General features: G+C 44.3%; 2 pseudogenes across 2 annotated transcripts in view; one reads left to right on the top strand and one right to left on the bottom strand.

Annotated features, from left to right (window-relative positions):
• DUXAP8 (double homeobox A pseudogene 8) overlaps nucleotides 1–21,935 on the top strand; it is a 42,481-nt pseudogene extending 20,546 nt beyond the window's left edge. The window contains exons 7-8 of the transcript NR_122113.1: nucleotides 9,977–10,067; nucleotides 20,643–21,935. The product of NR_122113.1 is annotated as a double homeobox A pseudogene 8 (transcript). The remainder of the gene's footprint in view (nucleotides 1–9,976; nucleotides 10,068–20,642) is intronic.
• Nucleotides 199–15,385, bottom strand: BMS1P22 (BMS1 pseudogene 22; annotated as a pseudogene). The gene is made up of 3 exons (NR_133911.1): nucleotides 15,122–15,385; nucleotides 7,895–7,982; nucleotides 199–512 (listed from the first exon to the last, which is right to left on the bottom strand). The product of NR_133911.1 is annotated as a BMS1 pseudogene 22 (transcript).
• Nucleotides 21,936–25,456: the final 3,521 nt, after the last annotated feature.

Here is a 25,456-nt window from a genome sequence, read left to right on the forward strand (position 1 = left end):
AACTATGTACGATGGTAGATATGTTAATTTGCTTCACTGTAGTAACCAGTTTACTGTCTATATGTATCCTTAAGGTCATGTGGTCAACCTCAAATATATAAAATAAAATTTATTTTAAACAAGAAAAGTTTGTCTTCCATCCAGAAAGAACCACTATTGCCATTTTTTGGTATTCCGTTCCAAAATATTCCATGAATATACAATTGTTCAATCAAATTTAATGTTAGACTTTCTACTTGAACATTCAAAGCACTTAAGAAATTATAGAAAAGTGTCTGTGTGACTCCCTGTCTGCAGAGCACAGGCTGCATCTCCACTAATACACATGCCACCGGTACTTTATACAGAGTCCTTGTTTGCCTTTAGTCTGATGCCGTGGGTGAGCCTGAGTTGTCCTGTGGTCCGCGTTCCTGACCAGGTGTCTTTCTCACCCACTGGTTTCAAAAAAGATGTTACTGGGTTATAGAAGGCTGGGATGGAAACAGGATACCAAGTTCGCATGAAGACAGTATCTGAAAAGAGAGGTAATTTACTTTAACATTTTCAAAAGAAGATGCATATCCATATTGTGAAGAAACGAAGAACAAAACCTTCACTCCAAAATTCTCTACCTGGTTGCAAAGTATTTGAAGGGAAAGCTCACTAAGGAAGCTACTCCCATAGATCCCAGAACTGTTACTGGGTGTGGCCAGGGGACTGCAGACACAAAGCGAATGGGCACACCGCATAAGACTGGGAGATCTAAGGCTGGAGCTGCTCAACTCTCTAGAGACCTGACTCCAGCCTCTCGTCACACTGGCTAGAAGTCAAGCATGAATGGTAACATGCTGCCCTGAACACTACTCAAGACACTCACTGCTCATCAGCAGCTTATGCTCAAAGCTGGCCTGGAAGGCTCCTTCTGGAGCCCGGAGTGCTTTCTTGATCTGCTGCCTTATCTCGCTGACAGTTTGAATCACAGCACCTTCAAATATGGCCACTTCCAAGGCAGAATTAAACATTCCCTATGGGTATAGCAAGATAAAAATACACACAAAAAATCATATACTTTATGCTTTACTTCTTACCTCAAACATACATCCTTGGTTAAAGAACAAAAACAACTCACTGAAAGGTGATAAAATAATCAAAATGTATTTGCCCCTGGAAGTGGAATTACTACCACAAAAAGAATACAACTCTTTCATTTTTCCCAAAATAATCATGTGGGTTCGTGGGCATGCTCATCACTGCTGTCTGTGTGGAAAAGAAGATTAAAGAGGGATTTACTGGACTGCACTGGCCTAGGCAGCCTTTGCTGGCATCTCTCAGCCTAGACTGCAGCCCAGATCCTTTTACTCAGGTGCATGCATTTAGAACATGAAAACAGTAAGATAAACACTGGTGGTATTATTACTTTATATTGCAAGAACACTTAATGATCTTACTATGTGTTTTTAATAGAAACATCCCCACTAATGAAATTGTCAATAAATACTGCTCAAACCACCTTCCCCAAATACTGAAAAACAGTACATCCATTTCTCTACCCTTGCCAAGTTGTCTGCAAATGCTCTGTTTTTCTACTGAATGGTTAGACAAACTTGTGATTTTTTTCCCCTTTCTTAACACAAATCAAAAAAGTAGGAAACAAAACCCAGTGGATAAAACGACATTTTTTTTTTCTTGAGACAGAGTCTTGCTCTGTCACCAGGCTGGAGTGCAGTGGTGCAATCTCAGCTCACTGCAACCTCTGCCTCGCAGGCTCAAGCAATTCTCCCCCATTAGCCTCCCAAGTAGCTGGCCCCACAGGTGCGTACCACCACACCTGCTAATTTTTTGTATTTTTGGTAGAGATTAGGTTTCACCATGTTGACCAGGCTGGTCTCAAACTCCTGAGCTGTAGCGATCTGCCTCCCTCAGCTCCCTACAGCTACACCTGTACTGGGATTACAGGTGTGAGCCACTGCACCTACACTTAGCTGTATCTAAAAATACATCACCAAACCCAAGGTCACCTGGATATTCTTGATCTAGAAGTTTTCTGATTCTGCATTCTACATTTAGATCTTTGATCCATTTTGAGTTTTAATTTTTGAGAAGGGTGTAAAGTCTGAACTTAGATTCTTTTTTTTTGTACATGGACATCAATTTTTAAGCACCATTTGTTGAAGAGACTGCATTCTTTCATTTAATTGCCTTTGCTTCTTTGTCAAAGCTCAGCTAACTATATTTGCATAGGTCAATTTCCGGGCTCTCTCTTCTGAACCATTGATCAATCTGCATATTCTTTCACTAATGCCATGCTAACTCAATTATTTAGCTGGAGAGTAAGTCTTAAAGTTGGGTAGTGTCAGTCCTCTGAGTTGTTATTCTTCAGCATTTTGACTATGAGTCTTTTGCGTCTTCATATAAGCTTTAGAATAAATGTGTTTATATCTACAAAATAACCTGCTAGAATTTTAATTGGAGTAGAGTTGAATCTATAGATCAAGAAGGGGAGTATTAACATCTTAACAATACTGAGTCTTGCTATCCTTGCACATGAAATATATATCAATTTATTTAGGTTTCCTTTGATTTCTTTCATTAAAGTTTTGAAGTTTTCCTCATATAGATCCTGTACATATTTTGTTTACTGTATGCCTACATATTTCATTTTTGGGGTACTCATGTAAATAGCATTGTATTTGAAATTTCAAATTCCAGTTTTTTTCATTGCTAGTATATAGGAAAGCAATTAACTTTTAATACTAACCTTATGGTTTGGATTTGTGTCCCCACTCAAATCTCATGTCTAATTGTAATCCCCAGTGTAGGAGGAGGGGTCTGGGCAGAGGTAATTGGATCATGGGGGAGGATTTCTCCCTTGCCATTCTTGTATAGTGAGTTCTCACCAGATCTGATTGTTTAAAAGTACGTAGCATCTTCCCTTTTGCTCTCTCTTCCTCCTGCTTCAGCCATGTAAGGCGTGTCACCTCCCTCTTCACCTCCTGCCATGATTGTAAATTTCTTGAGGCTTCCTCAGCCATGCTTCTTGTTCAGCCTGCAGAATCGTGATCCAATTAAACCACTTTTCTTTATAAAATTACCCAGTCTCAGGTAGTTCTTCATAGCAGTGCAAGAACAGACTAATACAGAAAATTGGTACTGGGAAGTAGAGCATTGCTATGAAGATACCTGAAAATGTGGAAGCAGCTTTGGAAGTGGGTAATGGGCAGAGGTTGGAACAGTTTGGAGAGCTTAGAAGAAGACAGGAAGGCCTGGGCCCAGTGGCTCATGCCTGTAATCCCAGCACTTTGGGAGTCTGAGGTGGGCAGATCTCAAGGTCAGGAGATTGAGACCATGCTGGCTAACACGGTGAAACCCCATCTCTACTAAAAATACAAAAAAAAAAAAAAAGAAAGAAAAGAAAAGAATTAGCCAGGTGTGGTGGCATGCACCTATAGTCCTAGCTACTAGGGAGGCTTGGGCAGGAGAATTGCTTGAACTCAGGAGGCAGAGTGGTGAAAATGAGCATCTCTTGTTCCAGAGCTTAGAGGAGAGGCTTTCAGTTTTTCTGCCATTCAGTAAGATACTATACTTGTGGGAGTGTCTTATATGGCTTTTACTGTGTTGAGGTATGTTTCTTCTATACCCTGTTTTTTGAAGGGTTTTTACAATAAAATGTTGAATTTTATCAAATGCTTTACCGCATCAATTGACATTATTATATAAATTTTGTCCTTCATTCTGTTGATATGATGATCACATTGATTTGCATATTTTGAACCATCCTTCCATTCCTGGCATAAATTCCACTTAGTCATTATGAATAATTTTCAATATGTTGTGGATTTGTTTTGTTTGTAAATTTCCTTGAGGATTTTTGCATCAATTTTTCATAGGGATATTGGCCTGTAGTTTTCTCTTTTAATTTGTCTTTGGTTTAAGTATCAGGCATTGAAATATTCCTCCCTCCTCTATTCTTTGGGATAGTTTGAGTAGGATTGGTGTTAGTTATTCTGTATGTGTTTGGTAAAATACAGCAGTGAAGCTATTGCTTCCAGGATTTTCTTTGTTGGTAGTTTTTATTAAGGCTTTGATTTCATTATTTGTTATTGGTCGGTTCAGGTTTTGAATTTCTTCATGGTTTAATCTTGGTAGGTTAAACTACTACAAGAAGACATTGGGGAAATTCTCCAGGCTATTAGACTATGGAAAGATTTCTTAAGCAATACCCCACAAGCACAGACAACCAAAGCAAAAGTGGACAATTGGGATTGCACTAAGTTAAAAAGCTTCTGCATAGCAAAAGAGACAGTCAACAAAGAGAAAATCCAAAAAATGGGGAAACGTATTTGCAAACTATCCATTTGACAAGGGATTAATAACCAGAATATATAAAAAGCTCAAACAACTGTATAGAGAAAAATCTAATAATCTGATTTGAAAATGGGCAAGAGATCTTAATAGATATTTCTCAAAAAAAGAAATACAAAAGACTAACAGACTTAGGAAAAGGTGGCCAACATCACTGATTATCAGAGAAATGCAAATCAGAACTATGAAGAGATATCATCTCACCTCAGTTAAAATGGCTGTTTTTTCAAAAGACAGGTGATAACAAATGCTGGTGAGGATATGGAAAAAAAGCCAACCCTTGCATACTGTTGGTGGGAATGTAAATTAGTGCAACCACTATGGAGAACAATTTGGAGGTTCCTCAAAAAACTAAAATTAGAGCTATCATATGATCCAGCAATCTCATTGCTAGATATATACACAAAAAAAGAAAATCAATATATCGAAGAGATAACTGCACTCCTATGTTTATTGCATTACTATTCACAATATCCAAGATGTGGAAGCAACCTCAGTGTCCATCAACAGATGAATGGATAAAGAAAATGTGCCTATATATGATGGAGTACTTTTCAGCCATAACAAAGAATGAGATTCTGTCATTAGTGACAACATGGAATGGTGCTGTAGGATATTATTTTAAGTAAAATAAGCCAGCCACAGAAAGATAAACTTTGTACATTCACATTGATTTGGGGGAGCTGAATATTAAAACAAACTCATGAAGATAGAGTAGAATGGTTGTTACTTGAGGCTGGGAAGTGTAGCCAGTGGGGGGAAGTGGGGATGGTTAATAGGTACAAAATGTAGTTACAATGAATAAGATCTTTTATTTGATAGCACAACGGGGTAACTATAGTCAGCAATAGTTTTTTGTACATTTTAAGATAACTGCGTATAACTGAATTGTTCATAATACAAGGAAATGATAAATGTTTGAGATGATGGATAACGCATTTACCCTGATGTGATTATTATGCATTATATGTTTGTATCAAAATATCTCATATACCCCATAAATACATATATGCCTACTGTGTACCCATAAAAACTACAAAAGACCCATAGATGGTGACACCTGGGGATTTCCTGATACAATAGTGGGTTCTGGCTGATCATCCCACAGGGAAGCCACTCAGCAGCCACACAGTTCCCCCTACACACACCCCCCTAGTAATCGGCTTTGTTAGTATATAAACCTTAAAATATGTGCAGAAAATATCACAAGTCATACGGGAGATGTAAAGCAAGATCACAAAGAGGTACAACTTCATACCCATTAAAATGGCGATTATAATGCAAACAAACAAAAGATGGAAAATTAAAAGTGTTGACAAGGACATGGAGAAAATGAAACCCTTGTGCATTACTAATAGTAGTGTAAAGTGGTGGACTGCTCTACAGAGCAGCACAGTGGTTCCTCAAAAAGTTGAACATAGAATTACTATATGACCCAGTAATTCCACTTTGAGGTATATAGCCCCAATAATTAAATGCAGGGACCCAAAAAGATATTTGCATAGCAATGTTTACAGCAGCAGTACTCACAGTAGCCAGAAGGTGGAAGCAACATCATGCCCACTGGTGGATGAATGGATAAACAAATGTGATATATGCACGCAATGGAATATTATTGGAATATTATTCCTTTTTAAAGGAAGGAGATTCTGACACATTTCACAATGTGGATGAACAATGAAACCTTGAATACATTATGCTAATGGAAATAAGCCAAACACAAAAAGACAAATACTGTATGATTCCACTTATATGAGGTACCTAAGATAGGCAAAGTCATAGAGGCAGAAAGTAGAATGGTGGTTAATAGGGACTGGAAGATGACAGGAGTTAGGAATTACTGTTTTACAGGTACAGAGCTTCACATGAAAAAGTTCTAGAGAGGAATGGTGGGAATCATTACAAAACATTATGAATATAGTTAAAGCAACTGAACTGTACACTTAAAATAGTTAATGTGATACATTTTATGTTACATGTATTTTGCCCACTGAAAAAATAAAAATATATAAACACACAGCAAATGATGACCAGGCCTTTGAAGAAAGCTTATAAAACAAAATTAAGAAGCCAAGGCTGGGAGCGGTGGCTAACGCCTGTAATCCTAGCACTTTGGGTGGCTGAGATGGGCGGATCACGAGGTAAAGACATCGAGACCATCCTGGCCAACATGGTGAAATGTATGTTTAGTCTCTACTAAAAATACAAAATTTAGCTGGGTGTGGTGGCATGTGCCTGTAGTCCCAGCTACTGAACCCGGGAGGTGGAGATTGCAGTGAGCTGAGATCGCGCCACAGCACTCCAGCCTGGCTACAGAGCGAGACTCTGTCTCAAAAAAAAAAAAAAGAAAAGAAAAGAAAAAGAAACCAAAACACCAGGTAGCAATGGGGAGAATCGAAGAGGTGGGCAGAGTAAACAGAACACAAGGGCAAGGTCAGGAGAAGGCGTTTGACAACTGTAAGAGTGACAGCATATGAAAATATCACCAGAAAGATAGAAAATCAAGGTGAATTAGATACCAGAAAATTAAACACAAAATACAAAAAATGAGAGAGGGAGATGACAAAAATTAGAAAATCAACTCAAGAGGTTCAATACCTAACGAGATCCAGAAGAAAAAGGGAAGCTAGAGGGGAAGAAAATTATTGTAGAAACAATAGAAAGACATTTCCAAGAATTAACAAGAAAAACAGACATGTACCACTAGGGGTTTATTAAATGCACAAATTAAAAAAAAAATAAGCCTACCCCAAGATTCATGATTGGAATGGTATATGCTAAGGATACTCAAGAAATTTTAAATATTCTGAAGGGGGTAAAGCCAGAGTAGGGCAGGATGGGTGAGAGACAGGTCACATAAACATGTTATTTTGAAATATAAAAATACATTTTTTAAGTAAAAAATGTTGAAGTTGGCTGTGTCTGGGGAGTAAATAGGAAGTACTGAATGAAGAGCAGTCTGTTTCTTTGTGAAATCTTATACTACCATTGGACTTCTAAAACCATGTTTCTTTAAATTTTATCCTGGCTCTCTTTCAAAGTAATGCATTCACAGCTTATATTTACATGTAAAAATATGCAGGTGAAAAATGCTAATATAAAATTATTCCAAAGCCTTTTCTAAAGTGTCAAGAAGTGCTAGGATTTACTTAGCAGAAATCATCTCAGGATGAATTCCTTGTCAATTCTGGGAAATGACTGCCAGAGAGAGAGGAATAACAGAGTGGTCACAAAACTGTGATCAAAAGACAGCCTGATCAAAACATACACTAAGAAATTCATGATTGTTAGATAGAAAACACAAATGTGCAGATTCCCTGGGATTTCTCACTAAGTTAATATTTGCAGAAATAAACCATGTTTTAACTGTTCAGTTTCCTTTGGGATGCATTTAGTTTTAAATACATTCAATATTAATGAAATAACTAAATCTATTATAAATACTCTTTAAAAACATCAGAGAGTCAAGATAATTTGACTAAGTATCTAAAAATAAACTCATTTTCTTGAAAGAATGCAAGTAAAATGTTCAGTAAGTGATTAATACACGTACCACAGGTTACTCTGGCAATGTTGTGCTTCTTTTAGTTCATGGTAGTCTATGTAAGAGTCCTAGTCTTGTCAGAAAAGAGGTATTTTACCTAAATCAGAGAAACAAAAATATAGTATTCTGTTGTTTTTGACTCCACCTCTAGCTGAATTCAGAAGGCATATTCTGAAATAGCACAGAAAAACATGTAAAGTTTCTCAATCACTGTCACTACCACAATGAAGATGCATCTAAAAACAGCATGGGTCTGCTACAGATTATGTCACTTTCCACGATGCAAAGTTTTACAGATTTAATACACAAAGCTCTCAACTCACAAAGGTGAAAAGATAACTGACTGAGTAGGTCAACAAGCAAACCATCTCAACAAGATTAAATGAATGCAAAACAGATGCACTCCAAATGCAAATGTGGTACGCAGATTACGTTACCTGTGGCCATATGTACTAAAGAAGAGGGAGAGAACTCAAGGCCCCAGAACAAGAGAGAAGTCCAGGCCAGGCTCTGGACACTAACTAGCCATGTGGATTGTGAACAGTCACCTCATCCTTCATGGCCTCAGTTTCCACATCTATGAAATAAGGGGTCTGGTCAGGAGACACATAACAGCATTCTACATGTAACTGGAGAAATTGTGTCATGGATAGGGAAGGGAGGGTAATTAACCCAATTGCCTCTAGAGGGCAAATAATTAACAGAATTGCCTCCAGTTTCTCCATGGCTTTCTAAAGAGGGGTCAAGACTTGCTGGATGCCAGATGTTTTCCAGGGATCCCAGAGAATTGGTCTATGGAGGCAGTGCTTTACTGTATTATGGAAGAGGAATTAATCACACTAATTGCTTACTCTGTACTTTTGCTTAATGATACAATATAAACAAATACAATGAGAAATCATTTTAAAGCAATCAAACGGGCTTCAAGTTATTAAAGCTCCTGAAGAATCAAACATTACCTCCATATATAGAATTATTATACTAGGTGCAATTAATGATTTGATTTATAGATGTTTTTACATAGGTTTGATATGCAACAAGTCTAGGGGTATAAAATCAATAAAATCTGCCTTCTAATAAGCAGTGGTTTCTGCCTTTTTCTTTAAAAATTATATCAAAATAGTAAAACATGAATATTTTAAAATAAAAAATTATTGACATTTATTTTCATTCTGCCTGCTGAATTTTAACTTTTCCTCAAAAAGAAAAACTTCTTTCTCATGCAAACTATCCCCATATCCCTAATTAGGATGAATTATTGAAGCATCCTGGGTGATTTCTGAACACTTTCAATCCTTCAATTATTCAGGTCTAGTTTAATGGCACCTGAGAACAATTACATACTGAGAACTGTCCTAAACTGACAAAGGCGACCAAAGAGCTTATACAGGAGCATACCTGTACCCTCACATTGGCTCCAAAGTCTCCAGAGGGAAACGGACAGGACATGATGAATCAGCTCTTTTTTTACTGTATTATGCTTGGAAAGATTGTTATGGAAACATAGAATAAATAGATAGATAAATCAACCTTGCCTGGAAAACTGGAAAAAGGTTCAAAGAGGAGGCAAATTTAGACCAATATGTACCAAGAACTCATTGATTCTTACGGGAGTAGGTTATTACCAGACAGACAAGTGAAATTCAGTAGGCAGAATGATAATAAATGTCATTTATTAAATATTAAAAAGACAAATACCTTCCCTATTTTAGAAATAAGGTAGGCAAAGGAACTGAGGAGTGGAAGTTGAAGGCCAGCTCTGGGTGCTTTGTGAACAGAGCCCAGTTGACAGTGGGAAGATCTGTGCTCTATGCTAAGGACATGCTCTGTAATGACAATCCACTCGGTTGCACTAAGAATTTAAGAGCATTTATATGAATATATACAATTTAAGGAAAGATAAAGAGAAAAATTTGCTATCAACTCTGTGTAGATTTGGAAAATGGTGTCAAAGGAACAGTTTCACCTGCATTTCTTTGTCTAGAAAGTTTTATTTTATTAAAAAATGTAGTCTACAAACGAGCCTCAATTTTTGGCAATAAACTCAAAAATGCTACACAAACCATCACAGAATTCGGTTTGTCCTTGCAGGAAAGAAAAAAGAAGAAAACAAACCTCCATACGAGAATGGGTCTAAAGGAACTTCCCAAACCTCCATGATTTTGCAGGAAACAAGATAAAGGTAATCACCTGCAGCACCTGGACCCATCTAGATTAACTACTCAGCCTCCAGAGGAAGGTCTTCAGGACTCAGACCTTAGTTATAGATTAGAAGTTAATCACTTATGTCTTCAGACAGGCCCTGTTCCATGTTTAGAGAGAGATCTTTGAGCACCCATCTTCATACATTTGAGAACAGGGTCACAGAGAGGGAGTCTCTGAGGTCACAGAGTTTATTAGTTCATTTTCACACTCCAGGAAAGAAGTTTAATTCACAGTTCCACATGGCTGGGGAGGCCTCAGGAAACTTACAATCATGGTGGAAGGGGAAGCAAACACATCCTTCACGTGGCAGCAGGAGAGAGAAGTGCAGAAGAGGGGAAAGTCCCCTTATAAAACCATCAGATCTCGTGGGAACTCACTCAGTATCACGAGAACAGCATGTGGGAACCACTCCCATGATGTAATGCCCTCTCACAAGGCCCCTCCCCCAACACGTGGGGATTACAGTTCAAAATGACATTTGGGTGCAGACACAGAGCCACACCATATTACAGAGCCAGAAGAGCTGAGCAGTGGGCGCTAAGTAAATGTTCATTAAACCAAACCCCTGCACAAGGCTGGCTTCATAGAGGTGCCACCTGTGCAGTGGCAAAAGCCCCACTGTCAGAGGGGACCTGAACTTGGTTTAGTGCTATGTTGTCACTGCCTTCAAATTCTTAACAATTTTTGAACAGACTCCACATTTTCAGTTAGCACCGGGTCCTGCAAATTATGTACCCAGTCCTGTCCCTGAAACAAAGATAAGGTTTGTTCATGAAGGGACTCACTCGACCCCTCCCTGCCCATCTCACTCCAAGATGCCCTAAGTAAAGGGGAACACAGAGCTAGGAGAAGGCAGTATTTGAGGATGATCTTGGAGGTCCCACCTGATCATGGCTGGTGATGCATGTGTGTGGGTGGGAGAATTTGGCTGCTCTCTTCTGGCACCTTCCATCCCATGTACAAGGCCTGCACTTTGCCTGTCTGTCCCAAGTCCTCCTACCTGACTCAGACCAGGAATGTGGATGGGGGTGGGGGGTGGTGGCGGGCACTGGGGCCCAGTACTCCTGGTCCCAGCTGGAGTTCCCTGTTGACTGGGGGAGATTTGGCCCCTCTGACTACTCCTACCCCATCCCCACTAGGACAGGAGTTGGTGAAGGGGACAGGGTGGGAGGCTTAACTAGTAGCCAGGGGCAGGCGGCAGGCAGTGGGGCGAAGATCAGGCTGAATTTTCCTGCTACTGATCTGCTCTCTGGAAGAGGCATTCATGAACTGGCTTAGGCTGTGGCTTGGCTATTTTAGGAATATTCTTAACCCTTCCTGAGTCACTGCCGCCATCAGACTTCTCTCCCAGAGCACAGAGCACCAGACTATTCCCTCTCCTTGTCCCCTCCTCCCCAGTCCCTGCTTTCCTCCCTGGCAGCTGAGGTCAGAGTTTTCTCAGGGGCGGGGCAAGTTGACTTCTGCCAAGGAAAACTCCGGGGTCCCTGAGCCCCCTTCTTTGTCCTGTGACTTCTCCCTCTTCATCACAGCTCTGGACTCAGCAAAGTGGCAGAATGGGCATCACCTCAGCCCTTCTTCTCATCTTATAAAATTGGAACTTCAGCATCTCTCATCTGAGGGAAAATAGTTGACCTGCATCCCCAGAGTAAGATGGGAAGCTGCAGTCCTGATTTCCAGCCTCTGGCAGAGCAGGAGCCCCTGCCTGCCTGGCTTTGATGCCCTGTTAGGGGCACGTTTCCAGCAGGGAGTCACATGCCAGAGCCCCTCATGGGGTTACCTCTGCCTGGTTTTTTCCTCCACTCCAGGTTCTTCCCAGAGTCTGGCTTTTTGGAAAAACCTAGGCCATGATATAGGCATTACCTCTGTAAGGCTAAGGGGGGTCCCACTGCGGGCCAGGAGGGCTCAACATCAATATATCTGAATTTCAAGCCAAGACAGGGGGAAAAGATCTTGGCTCAGTGTCAGGGGTTTCTGTGTCCCTGACAGCTGGGCTTGCCTGAGCTGGGAGGCCCAGCATATCTGGGCCTTGTGATGCCTTCTGACAGTAGGAGTTGGAGTTTGCCACCAACTGCTATTGGGAAAGCTTGACATGGTGATCCAGGAATAAGGCTGATGATGCCACAAAAATGCCCAAGGGCCTGTGGTGTGCCTGACAGTGTCCTGGGAAGTGGATATAGAGGATCAATAATCAATAATCATTATTTCCCTGAGAAAGGAAGCTCTCTTGGGGTGGTTAACCAGGTGTCTGGCCACAAGCCTAGGCCAGGGTTGATGGGCTGGGGCAAGTGAGTCATCCCAACTCATTCCCCCTCCTCCAGGTTATCACAACCAGCCCAGCTCCAGAAGTGAAAGAGCTGGCTTCAGCTGGGCATGAGGCCAAATGAAAATGCTTTCACTCCCCTCAAGGGCTGCAGAGGGGGCCCTTGCAAAGGGAGGGTCACCGAGCTGCAATTTCTTCTGCCTCCAATCCAGAAAGAGCCTGAAGGATTGCTCAAGGTGTCCTGGGAAAGATTTTGATTTCAAAGAGACAATCTCCCCCAGGAACTCCAGGAGAATTTTGTGTGGTGTTTAAAGGGTAAGAAGCTGCTGGGTGTGGCAGCTCACACCTGTAATTGCTGTGCTTTCAGAGCTACAGGCAGGAGGATCACTTGAGGCCAGGAGTTAGAGAACAGTCCGGGCAACACAGTGAGACACCCCCCACTACAAAAAACAAGAAGACCCCTCTTTTTACCCCTAATTGAGAGGCGTGACTAGAAGGCAGAAAGCTGGCTGTTGAGGTGGGAGTCTCTCTCTTCAGGCAGAGGTAGGGCCGCTTCCTGGGGCAGAGGCGTGGATGGTGTGTCTGGCTCTGCAGTTCCTGATGAAGACATACTGGGGTGCCCAGGCTAACCTTTGGCAAAACTAGGAGCTGAACTCAGGAGTCCCTGATGCCAGCCTTTCTGATGCGGTCCCCCCTCCCCTCCCCCATGTGTCTCGCTCCATAGCTCCAGGCCAGGAGCCCCAACTGGCTGGTGGAGGATGTCTTGCTCCTCAGCAGCTGGGATTTGTAAGTATTTGTAGGAACATGGAACAGATCAGTGGCTGACAGGCCCAGGAAGCAGACAGTCCCCTTCCCATAGGTCACCAGCTTCACTTCCCCTTCCTGCACCCCATCCTGATTTGAGGGAGCCCAGGATGACAAAGAGGGAGTAGTTGAGCAAGGTATGGAGTGGCAGTCTCTACAGGAGCTCAAAGGATGCATTTGTCCATCTGCCCTGGGCTCAGCTTCCACACTCAGAGTCACTCACATCCCTCCACCGTCGCCACAGCTCACCTGTGTGCCCACACAGACAAGGTCACACTGACCCCAAACGCACACTGTTTCAACTCTCAGCACTTCACTGTCACACTCGCGTGTGTACACACATGCTTTCTAATTTCCACAGCCACATGGATGCTCACACACTCACACCTTTGCACACACACACAAGCTGGCTCACAGACACACTGGGGGCCCAGATCCTGGTCATTCCCCACAGGTCTTAATAAAGGTTCATGGAAGGAAACCTGTTTCCTAAGGTAGGGTGGGAGTGTGTGTGAGTGTGTGGGGGGGAGAGGGTGAGAGTGAGTGTGTGCGTGTGTTAGTGTGTGTGTGTATGTAAGGAGCAGGAGTGACTGGGTCCTGAGTTTAGGGAGTTGGGAAGAGGAAGGAGAGATGGAGACAAGCCTGGACCAAGAGCCACTCAGAGCTGCCTGGAAGGGAAGCCAGGCTGAGATAAAGGCAAGGCAAAGAAATAAGACACTGACAAGGATCAAGCCAGGGTTGGGTAGGGACTGGGAACAGAGTCTGCCTCCATGAGAAGCTGTCACATTGCTGCTCTGGTGCCCTGTGACAGCGGCACCATCTCCAGCTGGAGACTCCCCTCTCTGGATCTTGTCATTGTGACTTTGCTTTGTTGGACAACCAGGAGTGGTGACAGGCAGGGAATATGGTGCCCAGGGCAGCTAGCCATGCCACGCCAGTCCAGCTGCCAACCCACCCGTCACTGGCCATCTCATCACCTGCCAGAGGGAGTGGGGTGGTGCAGATGAAACCAGCGATCAGCTTGGCTGCCCTTGCTTCGTAGTGCCACAGTAGAGGCTAGGGGAGCAACTGGCTTTCCTCCCCAAAAGGCGGGCAGGGTTATCCACACTTTGCCCAGGTCCCTGAAGCCTGCGGCTGAGCTCGGGGATAACAGGGGCCAAGTCACCGGTCCCAGACACCTAGGAACTATTAGAGACAGGAACCAGCATATGAGACAGGGGCTGTTAAGTAGGAGGTTGGAGAACACACGTTTTTGGTCTAAACCGGGGGCCCCTCTCTTTGCCCACTGAGCCCGCGGCCTGCGTGGTGCTGAGACTGCCTCTGGCCGCGTCCGCTTGGGACAAGGCCTGAGCGGTGGCTGATCCCACCTGGATGTCCCGGGCCGGCTCCCACCCGAAGCCCGCCATCCCGGGACGCGGTGGGGAGAAGCTGGCGCTGCTCCTTGCCATGCTTGGCGGCCGCTGCTGCCCGGCTGGGGGTCCCGAGTCGCACACGCCCCGCAAGCCCTGGCCACCGATCCGGAGGGAACGCCCTGGGCTGCGGTCCCCGAAGCCAAGAGAAGAAGCAGGTCCCAGGGCCGACTCCAAAGCCGCATCTCCAGCTTTGTTCATGGGTCCGGGAAGCAGAGGCCGCCGCCGGCCACCGTCGTGGGCGAGAAGAAGGGCACGAGGCGGCCGGGGCTCCTGCCCGGAACCACATGTGCGCGCCGGGCCCCGCTTCTTCATCGCACTTGCGGCCCAGGCTGCCCGGGGCCTGCGAGTTTCCAGCCAGGGCCCGGGACTCTGGCGCGGTCCGGCCGCGAGGAAGGAAGGCGTGGCCCGGGTGGGGGTAGCGGCAGGCCTGCGGCTCCGGCCACGGGGCAGGGGCAGAAAAACGACCCCGGCGCTGTCCGGGCATCCAGCTCGGTTCCCGCTGCAGCCAGGAGACTCCCGGGAGCGCTCTAGGAACCACAGAGCCCTGGAACTCACCTGGCAGCCTCGCGGCGCTAAAGCCGGCGGAGCCTGAGACAGCGCGCGGCGAGGCGGTCACGCTCCACCCCCGCGTGGCGGCAGGACTCGGATTTCGCCCCTGGTTTTAAAATTGTGCCGGTGGAGCCCGGGACGCTGGGAAGAGCGTTCTGCGCCCCTCCAGTCGCGGTCTCCGCCCTAAACCGACTTCCAGAGCCGCCTCTGCTCCCTGGAGGGGCGCAGTGGCGGACACCGGCGTCCCACGAAGTCGCAGGTCCTCAGTCTGAGGGCTGCCCCGCACGCTCGGAATGCAGGAGGGTCTCCGCCTCGCTGCGCTGCCCCTGGGGGCGGAGGCGTGCGCTGCAGGCGAGAGAGGCGGCCCGGTATCGATGGAGAAGCACAGAGGGCTTTGAGGTCGCAACCTCCCGGTTGCTGAGCGGAGTCGGGAGTCAGGTTCCAAAGGGACAGCGCTCAGGGTTGTAATCACCACCCGGCCCACCGCTTCCGCAGCTGCGAGTCTAGGGCGGAGCTGTTGGGTGGACCGAGCAGGCGAGGCGCAGGCAGGCAGCGGCTCCGCCTCGGAATCCGCCTCGACCGGGGCCCAGGTGCCCGCCCCACCTGTCCCTCGGTCACCCCAACCCTGTTTCCTCGACCCCCAGCACTCCTCCAGGCCTAGTTCGCTTCAGAGGCGCAAGACCCGGAAAACAAGGAAGAAGCGAGCTCAGCCTCAATCCCCGTCCCCACCCCACTTTCGGGACCGCTAAGCTGGAGAATTGAAGGGGGCGGACCCCGGATTAAAGCCGCTCCCTTCCCAGCCTCGCCCCGCTTTCCTAATGTCCGTGATGATTTCGTTATTGGCAGGGAAGAGCCAGACTCCCTGCGCTCCCAAGACGGGGCGATTGGGAGGGGGTTCTGGAGCTGCCTGGGGTCGGCCCGGCGGGGGGTGACCCCGGGCCCTCGCCGGTGCAAGGAGAACAGGTGGTTCCCGCCGGGGCAGGGAAGCGTGGACGGTGTGGGCTCAGGCGCCTGGCAGGCACACGGGGCCTCTAAAGCTTGGTCACTGTCACAGATCGTGTGGTTGTTTCTTCCGTCCCCGCCACGCCTTCCTCCTGGGATGGGGATTCATTCCCTAGCAGGTGTCGGAGAACTGGCGCCCTTGCAGGGTAGGCGCCCCGGAGCCTGAGGCGGGAACTTTAAAATCAGACGCTTGGGGGCCGGGCTGGGAAAAACTGGCGGAAAATATTATAACTGAACTCTCAATGCCAGCTGTTGTAGAAGCTCCTGGGACAAGCCGTGGAAGTCCCCTCAGGAGGCTTCCGCGATGTCCTAGGTGGCTGCTCCGCCCGCCACGGTCATTTCCATTGACTCACACGCGCCGCCTGGAGGAGGAGGCTGCGCTGGACACGCCGGTGGCGCCTTTGCCTGGGGGAGCGCAGCCTGGAGCTCTGGCGGCAGCGCTGGGAGCGGGGCCTCGGAGGCTGGGCCTGGGGACCCAAGGTTGGGCGGGGCGCAGGAGGTGGGCTCAGGGTTCTCCAGAGAATCCCCATGAGCTAACCCGCAGGGCGGCCGGGCCAGTAGGCACCGGGCCCCCGCGGTGACCTGCGGACCCGAAGCTGGAGCAGCCACTGCAAATGCTGTGCTGACCCCAAATGCTGTGTCCTTTAAATGTTTTAATTAAGAATAATTAATAGGTCCGGGTGTGGAGGCTCAAGCCTTAATCCCCAGCACCTGGCGAGGCCGAGGAGGGAGGATCCCTTGAGTCCAGAGGTTCGAGACTAGCCTGGGCAACACAGTCAGACTCCATCCTTCCAAAACAAACAAACGAAAATAAAACAAACAGAAAACGAAATTAGCCGGGTGTGGTGGTGCGGGCCTGTGGTCCCAGCTCCTCGGGAGGCTGAGGCAGGAAGATGGCTTGCGACTGCACCACTGCATTCCAGCCTTCGCGACAGAGCAAGACCCTGTCTCGAAAAATGTGTATGTCTGGGTAAGTGTATAGATTTTACAACTATTTTGAAGGCGACCTTTTTAACTTTAAACAGACCACTCTGGAGGAGACCCCTGACCCAGAGCGCTTTACCTAAAGTTCGGTGCCTAAAATGCATCCTTCCTCTGGCTGGTGTCTCCCTTCTGCCAAGCTGTGCCTCCTGCAGAGGTAGGCTCCGTGGTGTCTCCCACTCCGCCCCAACTGGAGAACGGTGTAAAGAACTGTCAGCCGGGTGCAGTGGCTCACGCCTGTAATCTCAGCACTTTGTGAGGCCGAGAGGGGCGGATCACTTGAGGTCAGAAGTTCAAAACCAGCCTGGCCAACATGGTGAAACCCCGTCTCTGCTACAAAAATTAGCCAGGCGTGATGGTGGATGCCTGTAATCCCAGCTACTCAGGAGGCTGAGGCAGGAGAATTGCTTGAACCCGGGAGGCGGAGGTTGCAGTGAGCAGAGATGGCGCCACTGCACTCCAGCCTGGGTGACAAGAGCAACTCCGTCTCCCAAAAAAAAAAAAGAAGAATTGTCAACAAGAGGGAGTGGCAATTCAGAAGCATATTTAAGCCAAGTCCTCAAGACTAGAAAGCATGAAGCAGGGGAGGCGTTTTGAAAGCGTAAGAACAATAGACCATGGGCATGGATGGCCGAGTCTGGGGATCAGCATCGTAATTTGTTGAGAAGGAGGCCGTGCTGTGCTGCCAGTTATTAATTGGTTTAATCGGTTGATACACAGCCCTACTGGCCTAACCAGTAGCCCAGGGCCCTGGAGGATTTGCAGGTCGTGTCAGAATTTGATTGCAGTTCCTTCCACTTGGCATAAGGAGACACTATCAGCCTGATTGGGAGGGTGATGGTGGGATGGAGCCTGCCGAGGTGGCGGCGCTGAGCTGACCACACCACCGGCCATAGAGTGGGAGCCTTTCCTGCCCGCTTAACTGCAGCTAATATCAAAAGCACTGGTATGGGCTGTCTATCTGTGCTGGAACCTGAGTTTATCTTTGTCTGCAATTACGATTCTTCTGGGTTTATTTTGCCAGCTCATTATCCAGCCCCCTGGAATCAGGCCTCCCAAATTTAGCAGGTGCTGGGGAGGACCCTAGGGAGTGGTTTATGGGGGCTAGCTGGTGAAACTGCCCTTTCCTTTCTGTTCTATGAGTGTGATGGTGTTTGAGAAAATGTGGGGCTATGGTTCAGGCGCACTTCACATGTGCAAAGATGGAGAAAGCACTCACCTACACGTTTAGGCTCAGAATATTGATTGAAACATTTTGAATGATCAAAAATAAAATGTTATTTTTAAAGTTTCTCTCTGAGATTTTGCTTAAGTTTTGGTAGATATTCTTAAGTTTTAGTGACCTCAGTTTGGGAATTAAGTAAGCTAAACATTGTGTCCTTATTATTAGTTATATAAAACTATGCTTTAGACTTTGTTAGAAACTTCTGCCCCACCTTGACTGACTCCTTTTCCATTTCTGGTTGTACAAAATGAATTCACACTTTAATGCTATGGCCACCTTTAAATAAAGTACAGCGTGACTAAAAAAAAAAAAAAAAGAACCAGTACAAATGTTTGCTTTGGTGTAGAGCTGAAGACATAAATTGGTAACCAATGGAATTATCTGGCCTCAGACTTTATTTATTTTCATCATTTATTTCACTGATGTGCAAATTTATTCCGTACCAGCAAATGTCAATTTAATTATATTCTACAGTACACAGTGAATCATGTATACTTAGTTAAGTTGTAAATACACTAAACCATATAAACTCACAACAGTATATCAGCTCATGATGGGTAAATGACTTTTCCCTGAGAAAGAGTATCTGTTTAACCTGCATGATCTCACTCTTTAGTATTTGCTTCTTTAGTCTACGTTTGTTTCCTAGTTTTGAATATAATCATGATATGGAGAGACAAGTGAAATCACCACAATTTTGTTTTCCAAAATGTGAGACTATGCAAATGCTGAAATGAGAATTAATACATCCAAAATATCGAACCACAATTATGGCTTTGCTTTACTTTTTGCCCGTAAGAGACATGTGGCCTAAAATAGGTGGCAGGTATTCCTACCACAACCTTGCTTAGCATAGTGGTTGACTAAATATAAATTTTAGAGATGAAGGTTGTTCTATACCCAGATTTCAATGTGATTGCTATGCCCACTTCACTTTCTCTAAAATACATATTTTTCTTACTTCTCACTTTCTTTTTCTTCTTGGTTGACATTTTTTGGCTCAGGGATTTTTTTTTCCTTATGATCTCAATAAATTTTTCTCATATAAAAAGACATAATCGTGCTGGGAGCGGTGGCTCATGCTTGTAATCCCAGCACTTTGGGAGGCTGAGGCTGGTGGATCACCTGAGGTCAGCAGTTAAAGATGAGCCCGGCCAAAATGGTGAAACCTCATCTCTACTAAAAATACAAAAATTTGCCAGGTGTGGTGGCAGGCACTTGTAATCCCAGCCACTCGGGAGGCTGAGGCAGGAGAATCGCTTGAACCCAGGAGGCAGAGGTTGCAGTGAGCCAAGATCATGCCATTGGACTCTAGCAGGGTGACAAGAGCAAAACTCCATCTCAGGAAAAAAAAAATCATAAATTTTCCCATATTAAAAAAATAACACAAGATCCGGAATACAGAGAGGAGCATAATGCTTTGCAGGTCATAGATGTAATCTTTCTTCCACGAAAAATGTATTTCAGATGAGACCAGAATTGGAAACATATTCTGTGCCGTCAGATAGCACTGGCTTAGGAGATGAATGAGGAGAAGCCTGCAGGCTACCTCAAGGATAAGAAGCAGGCAAAAGGCAAGCACAGGGGTGGCATGCACTCACACTGGGGCTGCTCCTTCCTGGGCAAGTTTCAGAAACTCACTGACAGTTAGAGCTAGCAGCTCCCGTAGAGATGAATGCCCATGTTTTCCTGAAGGGAGAACTGATGCTTAGAAAGGCTGAATGACTTGTCTAAGACTCTGGGACCAGAACAGGGATCTTATTCCAGTATTTCTTGCATGAAGCCATTCTACTTCCACGTTTCTAATTTATAACTTTTAAAAGGTCATTTTAAAAACGAAATAGCATGAACATCAAGTCTGGAGGCTAGTGGTGGGATTATTCACATTTATTTTTCCACTTGACATTTGAGGGCGATAGTGATGCTTAAGTAAAACCAAAATTATCCTGGGAGTATAGAAAATAATATATCTGTTTACATTTTGGTGTGGGATGAGTAGAATCTTGTTTTCAAATTCCTTGCTTGAAAGGCTATTAAGAAGAATAAATCCTCACTTAACAGTTTTCTAAATCCTTGGTAGTGTCCTCTGTCCTTTGGTAACACATGAAAGTAGAGCACACTTTTCTACTTTTGTTCCTTCTGCACCCCTCATAAGGTGAAGCATGCATAGAGCACTCCCAGGGTCAGTGTGAGCCCAGCAGCAGCTCAGGCTGCCGATGCTCCAGAGTCGGATTCCACCTTCCACTTAAATGGCAGCCACAGGTAGACGTGCCCATCACAACCAACTCTGTGCGTTCATAATTTCTGTTTATTCTACAGGTGGTTTCCACAAGAAAAATGGCACAATGTTTCTCAGAAGACAATTACATAAGAATCAGCATACTTCAAATTCACAGCAAATAATCAGACAATTGATGAAAATACTTACCCAAACACTAATTGTAGACTATGCCTTCTGAATATGTTTGTCATAAACTTGGAGTAAGGAATCCTCACAGGCACTGGACAATTCAAAAAACGTAAAGTTGTTTGTTAGAATACTGGTGCTTTTGGATAGAAACCCTCATCCATATCCTGGTAAGGCTTGAAGTTGCACAGGAGTTTTCATTTGTCAAAACCCAGAAAACCATAAGCTTTAGATTTGTGAATTTTATATTGTATTATATGTGACCTTTCTTTTTAAAAAATGAGCTGTAAGCAGTCTCCCAGACAGTAGCTCAGCCTCCAGAACTCTCTTTCTGCATAGTTGAAGACCCCTCTTCACACAAGATGGTAGCAACAAATCATAGGTGCAATTGCACCAAATTCACAGAAGATCAATTGAAAATCCTCATCAATACCTTCACTCAAAAACCTTACCCAGGTTATGCTACCAAACAAAAACTTGCTTTAGCAATCAATGCAGAAGAGTCCAGAATCCAGATTTGGTTTCAGAATCAAAGAGCTAGGCATGGATTCCAGAAAACACCAGAACCTGACTTTAGATTTAAGCCACAGCCATGGACAAGATTAACCTGGTGTGGAGTTTCAAAATAGAGAAGCCAGATGGTGTTGTACCACCTATAGCACCTTTCAATTACACACAGTCATCCATGCATTTATGAAAAACCCATACCCTGGGATTGATTCCAGAGAACAACTTGCTGAAGAAATTGGTGCTTCAGAGTCAAGAGTCCAAATTTGGTTCCAAAATCAAAGATCTAGATTTCATCTCCAGAGAAAAAGAGAACCTGTTATGTCCTTAGAATGAGAAGACCAGAGAAGACCAGGGGCAAGGTTTCTGAGGGACTTCAAGGTACAGAAGATACACAAAGTGGCACCAGCCTCACTAGCACTCTCATTTCTCAAGAGCCAGAACATGGTGAATACAGTCAAGTTCAGTGTATTTGATAATATCAATTTGGGCCCCAAATCTCTCTCACAGTCTTCCTGGGAGTCTATTCTTCTTCCAAAAGTGCAAGCTAAGCCTTCTGAAGATGGTAAAGAACTTGGCCGGGTGTGGTGGCTCATGCCTGTAATCCCAGCACTTTAGGAGGCTGAGGCTGGAAGATGGCTTGAGCCTAGGAGTTTGAAACCAGTCTGAGCAACATAGTAAGACCCTGTCTCTATTCTAAAAAACAAAATAAGTAAAAAGGACTGTAGGAGGCCAAGACAGGTACAGGAGGCACCACACTACCCTGTTGACACAGCCTGGATCCAGAGTTCAGCAGACCTTGAGACAATGAAAACAAACTTAGTAATAATCATTTTTCAATCATTGCAGTAATTATTGATTTGGACAAAAATCAATTGATGTCAAAACCTTAAAGTGACGTTTCTCTGCCTATGGAGTGGTCATTCTTTTATTCCTTTAGTTTCATAATAAATTTTCTTTTACTTAAAAAAACTTATAGTTTGATGAAGAGTGAGATATATACCTCATCTCAAAGAATCTTCACACACGCACTTATTAATTACAAAAGGAAAATCAGTAATTTTGCAGTGGAGACATATGGCCAACTCCACCTTACCCAAGTGGCTGAAAGTCACTGCACCAGTAATGGCACAAACCAATGTGAGATGATTCCTGATATGATACACTAAAAAGGGCACTGTCTCTTCTGCATGTTGCAGACAAAAAGTGGGTAAGCTGACACTGAAACTAATAATTAGGCAATGTCAAGCAAATACAAATTCAGGTTGACAGTCTGCAAAGTAACATCCATGTACTCTTCAACAATGGATCGACCCTAGCTACTCAGGAGGCTGAGGTGGAATAATTGTTTGAGGCCAGGAGTTCCAGATCAGCCCGGGCAACATCATGCGACCCCATCTCTAAAAACATCTTTTTAAAAATGAGCCAGGTGTGGTAGCATGCACCCGTAGTCTCAGCTACTCAGGAGCCTGAGGCAGGAGGAAGGTTTCAACATAGGAGATCGAGGCTGCTGTGAGCTATGATCGTGCTACTGCACTCCAGCCTGGGTGACACAGCAAGTTCCTGTTTCCAAACAACAACAAGAAAACAAAACAAAACAAAACAAAAAATAGATAGAATAGTGACAATAAAAATGGAGAAACAGTAGGCTGACTCAGGAAATGCTTAGAAAGTACAGCCATACCTCAAAGATATTGTAGATTTGATTCGAGACCACCACAATAAAGCAGATATTGCTACAAAGTGAGTCACACAAATTGTTTTGTTTCCTTGTGAATATGAAGTTATATTGGCTGGGTGTGATGGCTCATGCCTATAATCCCAGTACTTTAGGAGACGGAGGCGGGAGGGTCACTTGAGCCCAGGAATTGTGAGATCAACCTGGGCATATAGGGAGATCCTGTCTCTATTTAAAAAAAGAAGCTATGTTTACACTACACTATAGTCTATTTAAAGTGTGAAATGGCGTTATGTCCTTAATTTTAAAACTCTTGATGCTGGCTGGGTTCGGTGGCTCATACCTGTAATCCCATCACTTTGGGAGGCCAAGACAGGTTGATTACTTGAATTCAGGAGTTCAAGACCAGCCTGGACAACATGGCAAAACACGTCTTTAAAAAAAGAAAAGAAAAAAGAAAAACAGAAAGAAAAAGAAGAAAAACTACTTGCTGCCCTTACTTGAAGCTCAATTATTTAAAACAAAGAAAAAATATAAAAATCTTTTATTGCTGAAAATGCTAATGATCACCTGAGCCTTCAGGGAGTCTTAGTCTTTTTGCTGGTGAAGGGTCTTGCCTTGATGTTGTTGGCTGCTGCCTGATAAGGGCGATGGTTGCTGAATATTGAAGTGGTTGTAACAATTTCTTAAAAGAAAACAATGAAATTTGCCACATTAACTGACTCTTCCTTCCACGAAAGATTTCAGTGTACCATGCGATACTGTTTGATAAGCATTTTACCCATAGTAGAACTTCTTTCAAAATTGGAGTCAGTCCTCTCACACCCTGCCACTGTTTTACTATGTTTATCAATATTCTAAATCCTTTGTTGTAGGCTAAACAATATTCACAGCATTTTCACCAGGAGTAAATTTCATCTCACAAAACCACTTTCCAGGCTCTTTCTGGACTGTAGAGTTCTTTCCAGGCTACCTTGTGGCAGTTTAAGAGTCTGGCATCATTTTCCGCTGGGACCTAAGGATCGAGGAGGTGCTTGTGACTAGACTGCCAATGGACCCATCACAAAGTTTAACCCAACCTTGATCCCCGAGTCTTCACAAATGCTCACTGAAGAAAATTCCTGGAACAATTCAGGGTCCTTTCATAACCTCTACTCTGAGGTGTTAATAAAAAACCTTAGTAACTTAAAAAAAATGAGCTGTACACAAATACTGAACAATAATGCTACATATGTTAAGTATGTAAGAAAAATATATACTTTGACATAAATAAGAAACGGTGAGTTGATAATTGGATAGAATGGTGGATAGAGTGATAGATATGTAGTAAAGCAAATATAACAAAATGATAATTGTACAATCTAAGTGGTTGGACTATAAATATGCACTTCCCACAACATTTTTATATGTTTAAACAGTTTTATAATACCATATTAGGGAAACTGTTTGTCTCAAGGAAATAGAGATTGTGATATGTTCTAGTACAATGAAGTGTAATCATGTAAAATAAAAGCTTTTACTTCTGGCAATTAAAGTTAATCATGTTAGAACACTGTCTAGGAATGGTTGGAAAATCATATTTTATTTTCTAATCAATATATTTATGTCATCTGTCAATCAGAATTACACTGACTTTAAAAAGCAATAATATGACTGTATATTCATGATGAAATATAGCCTAAGAACAAAATAATGCACAAAAATAATCTCAGATTGCTTATTATTTTTCAGAAGGCTGTATTTTTAGTCTTAGGCTATTGGTTTGTCTTATATTGCAGGATTTTAAAAAAATGATTAGTTCCCAGCACTTTGGGAGGCTGAGATGGGCAGATCACAAGGTGAAGAGATTGAGACCATCCTGGCCAACATGGTGAAACCCCCTCTCTACTAAAAATACAAACATTAGCTGGGCGTGGTGGCATGTGCCTGTAGTCCCAGCTACTCAGGGGGCTGAGGCAGGAGAATTGCTTAAACTCCAGAGGTGGAGGTTGCAGTGAGCCGAGGTGGTGCCATTGCACTCCAGCCTGCTGACAGAGTGAGACTCCGTCTCAAAAAAAAAAAAAAAAAGAAAAAGAAAAAAAAAAGAGAGTAGTTATGGGGCTGGGCACGGTGGCTCATGCTTGTAATCCCAGCACTTTGGGAGGCTGAGGCGGGTGGATCACGAAGTCAGGAGATCAAGACCTACCTGGCTAACACGGTGAAACCCTGTCTCCACTAAAAATACAAAAAATTAGCCAGGCATGGTGGCACGTGCCTATAGTCCCAGCTGCTCGGTAGGCTGAGGCAGGAGAATGATTGCACCACTGCACTCCAGCCTGGGCAACAGAGCGAGACTCCGTCTCAAAAAAAAAAAAAAAAAGCGCCGGGCGCGGTGGCTTATGCCTGTAATCCCAGAACTTTGGGGGACCGAGGTGGGTGGATCACGAGGTCAGTGGTTCAAGACCAGCCTGGCCAACATGGTGAAACCACGTCTCTACTAAAAATACAAAAATTAGCCAGGTGTGGTGGAGTTTGCCTGTAATCCCAGCTACTCTGGAGGCT

This window comes from Homo sapiens, chromosome 22 (genome assembly GCF_000001405.40).
Source record: "Homo sapiens chromosome 22, GRCh38.p14 Primary Assembly".
NCBI classification, from domain to species: domain Eukaryota; kingdom Metazoa; phylum Chordata; class Mammalia; order Primates; family Hominidae; genus Homo; species Homo sapiens.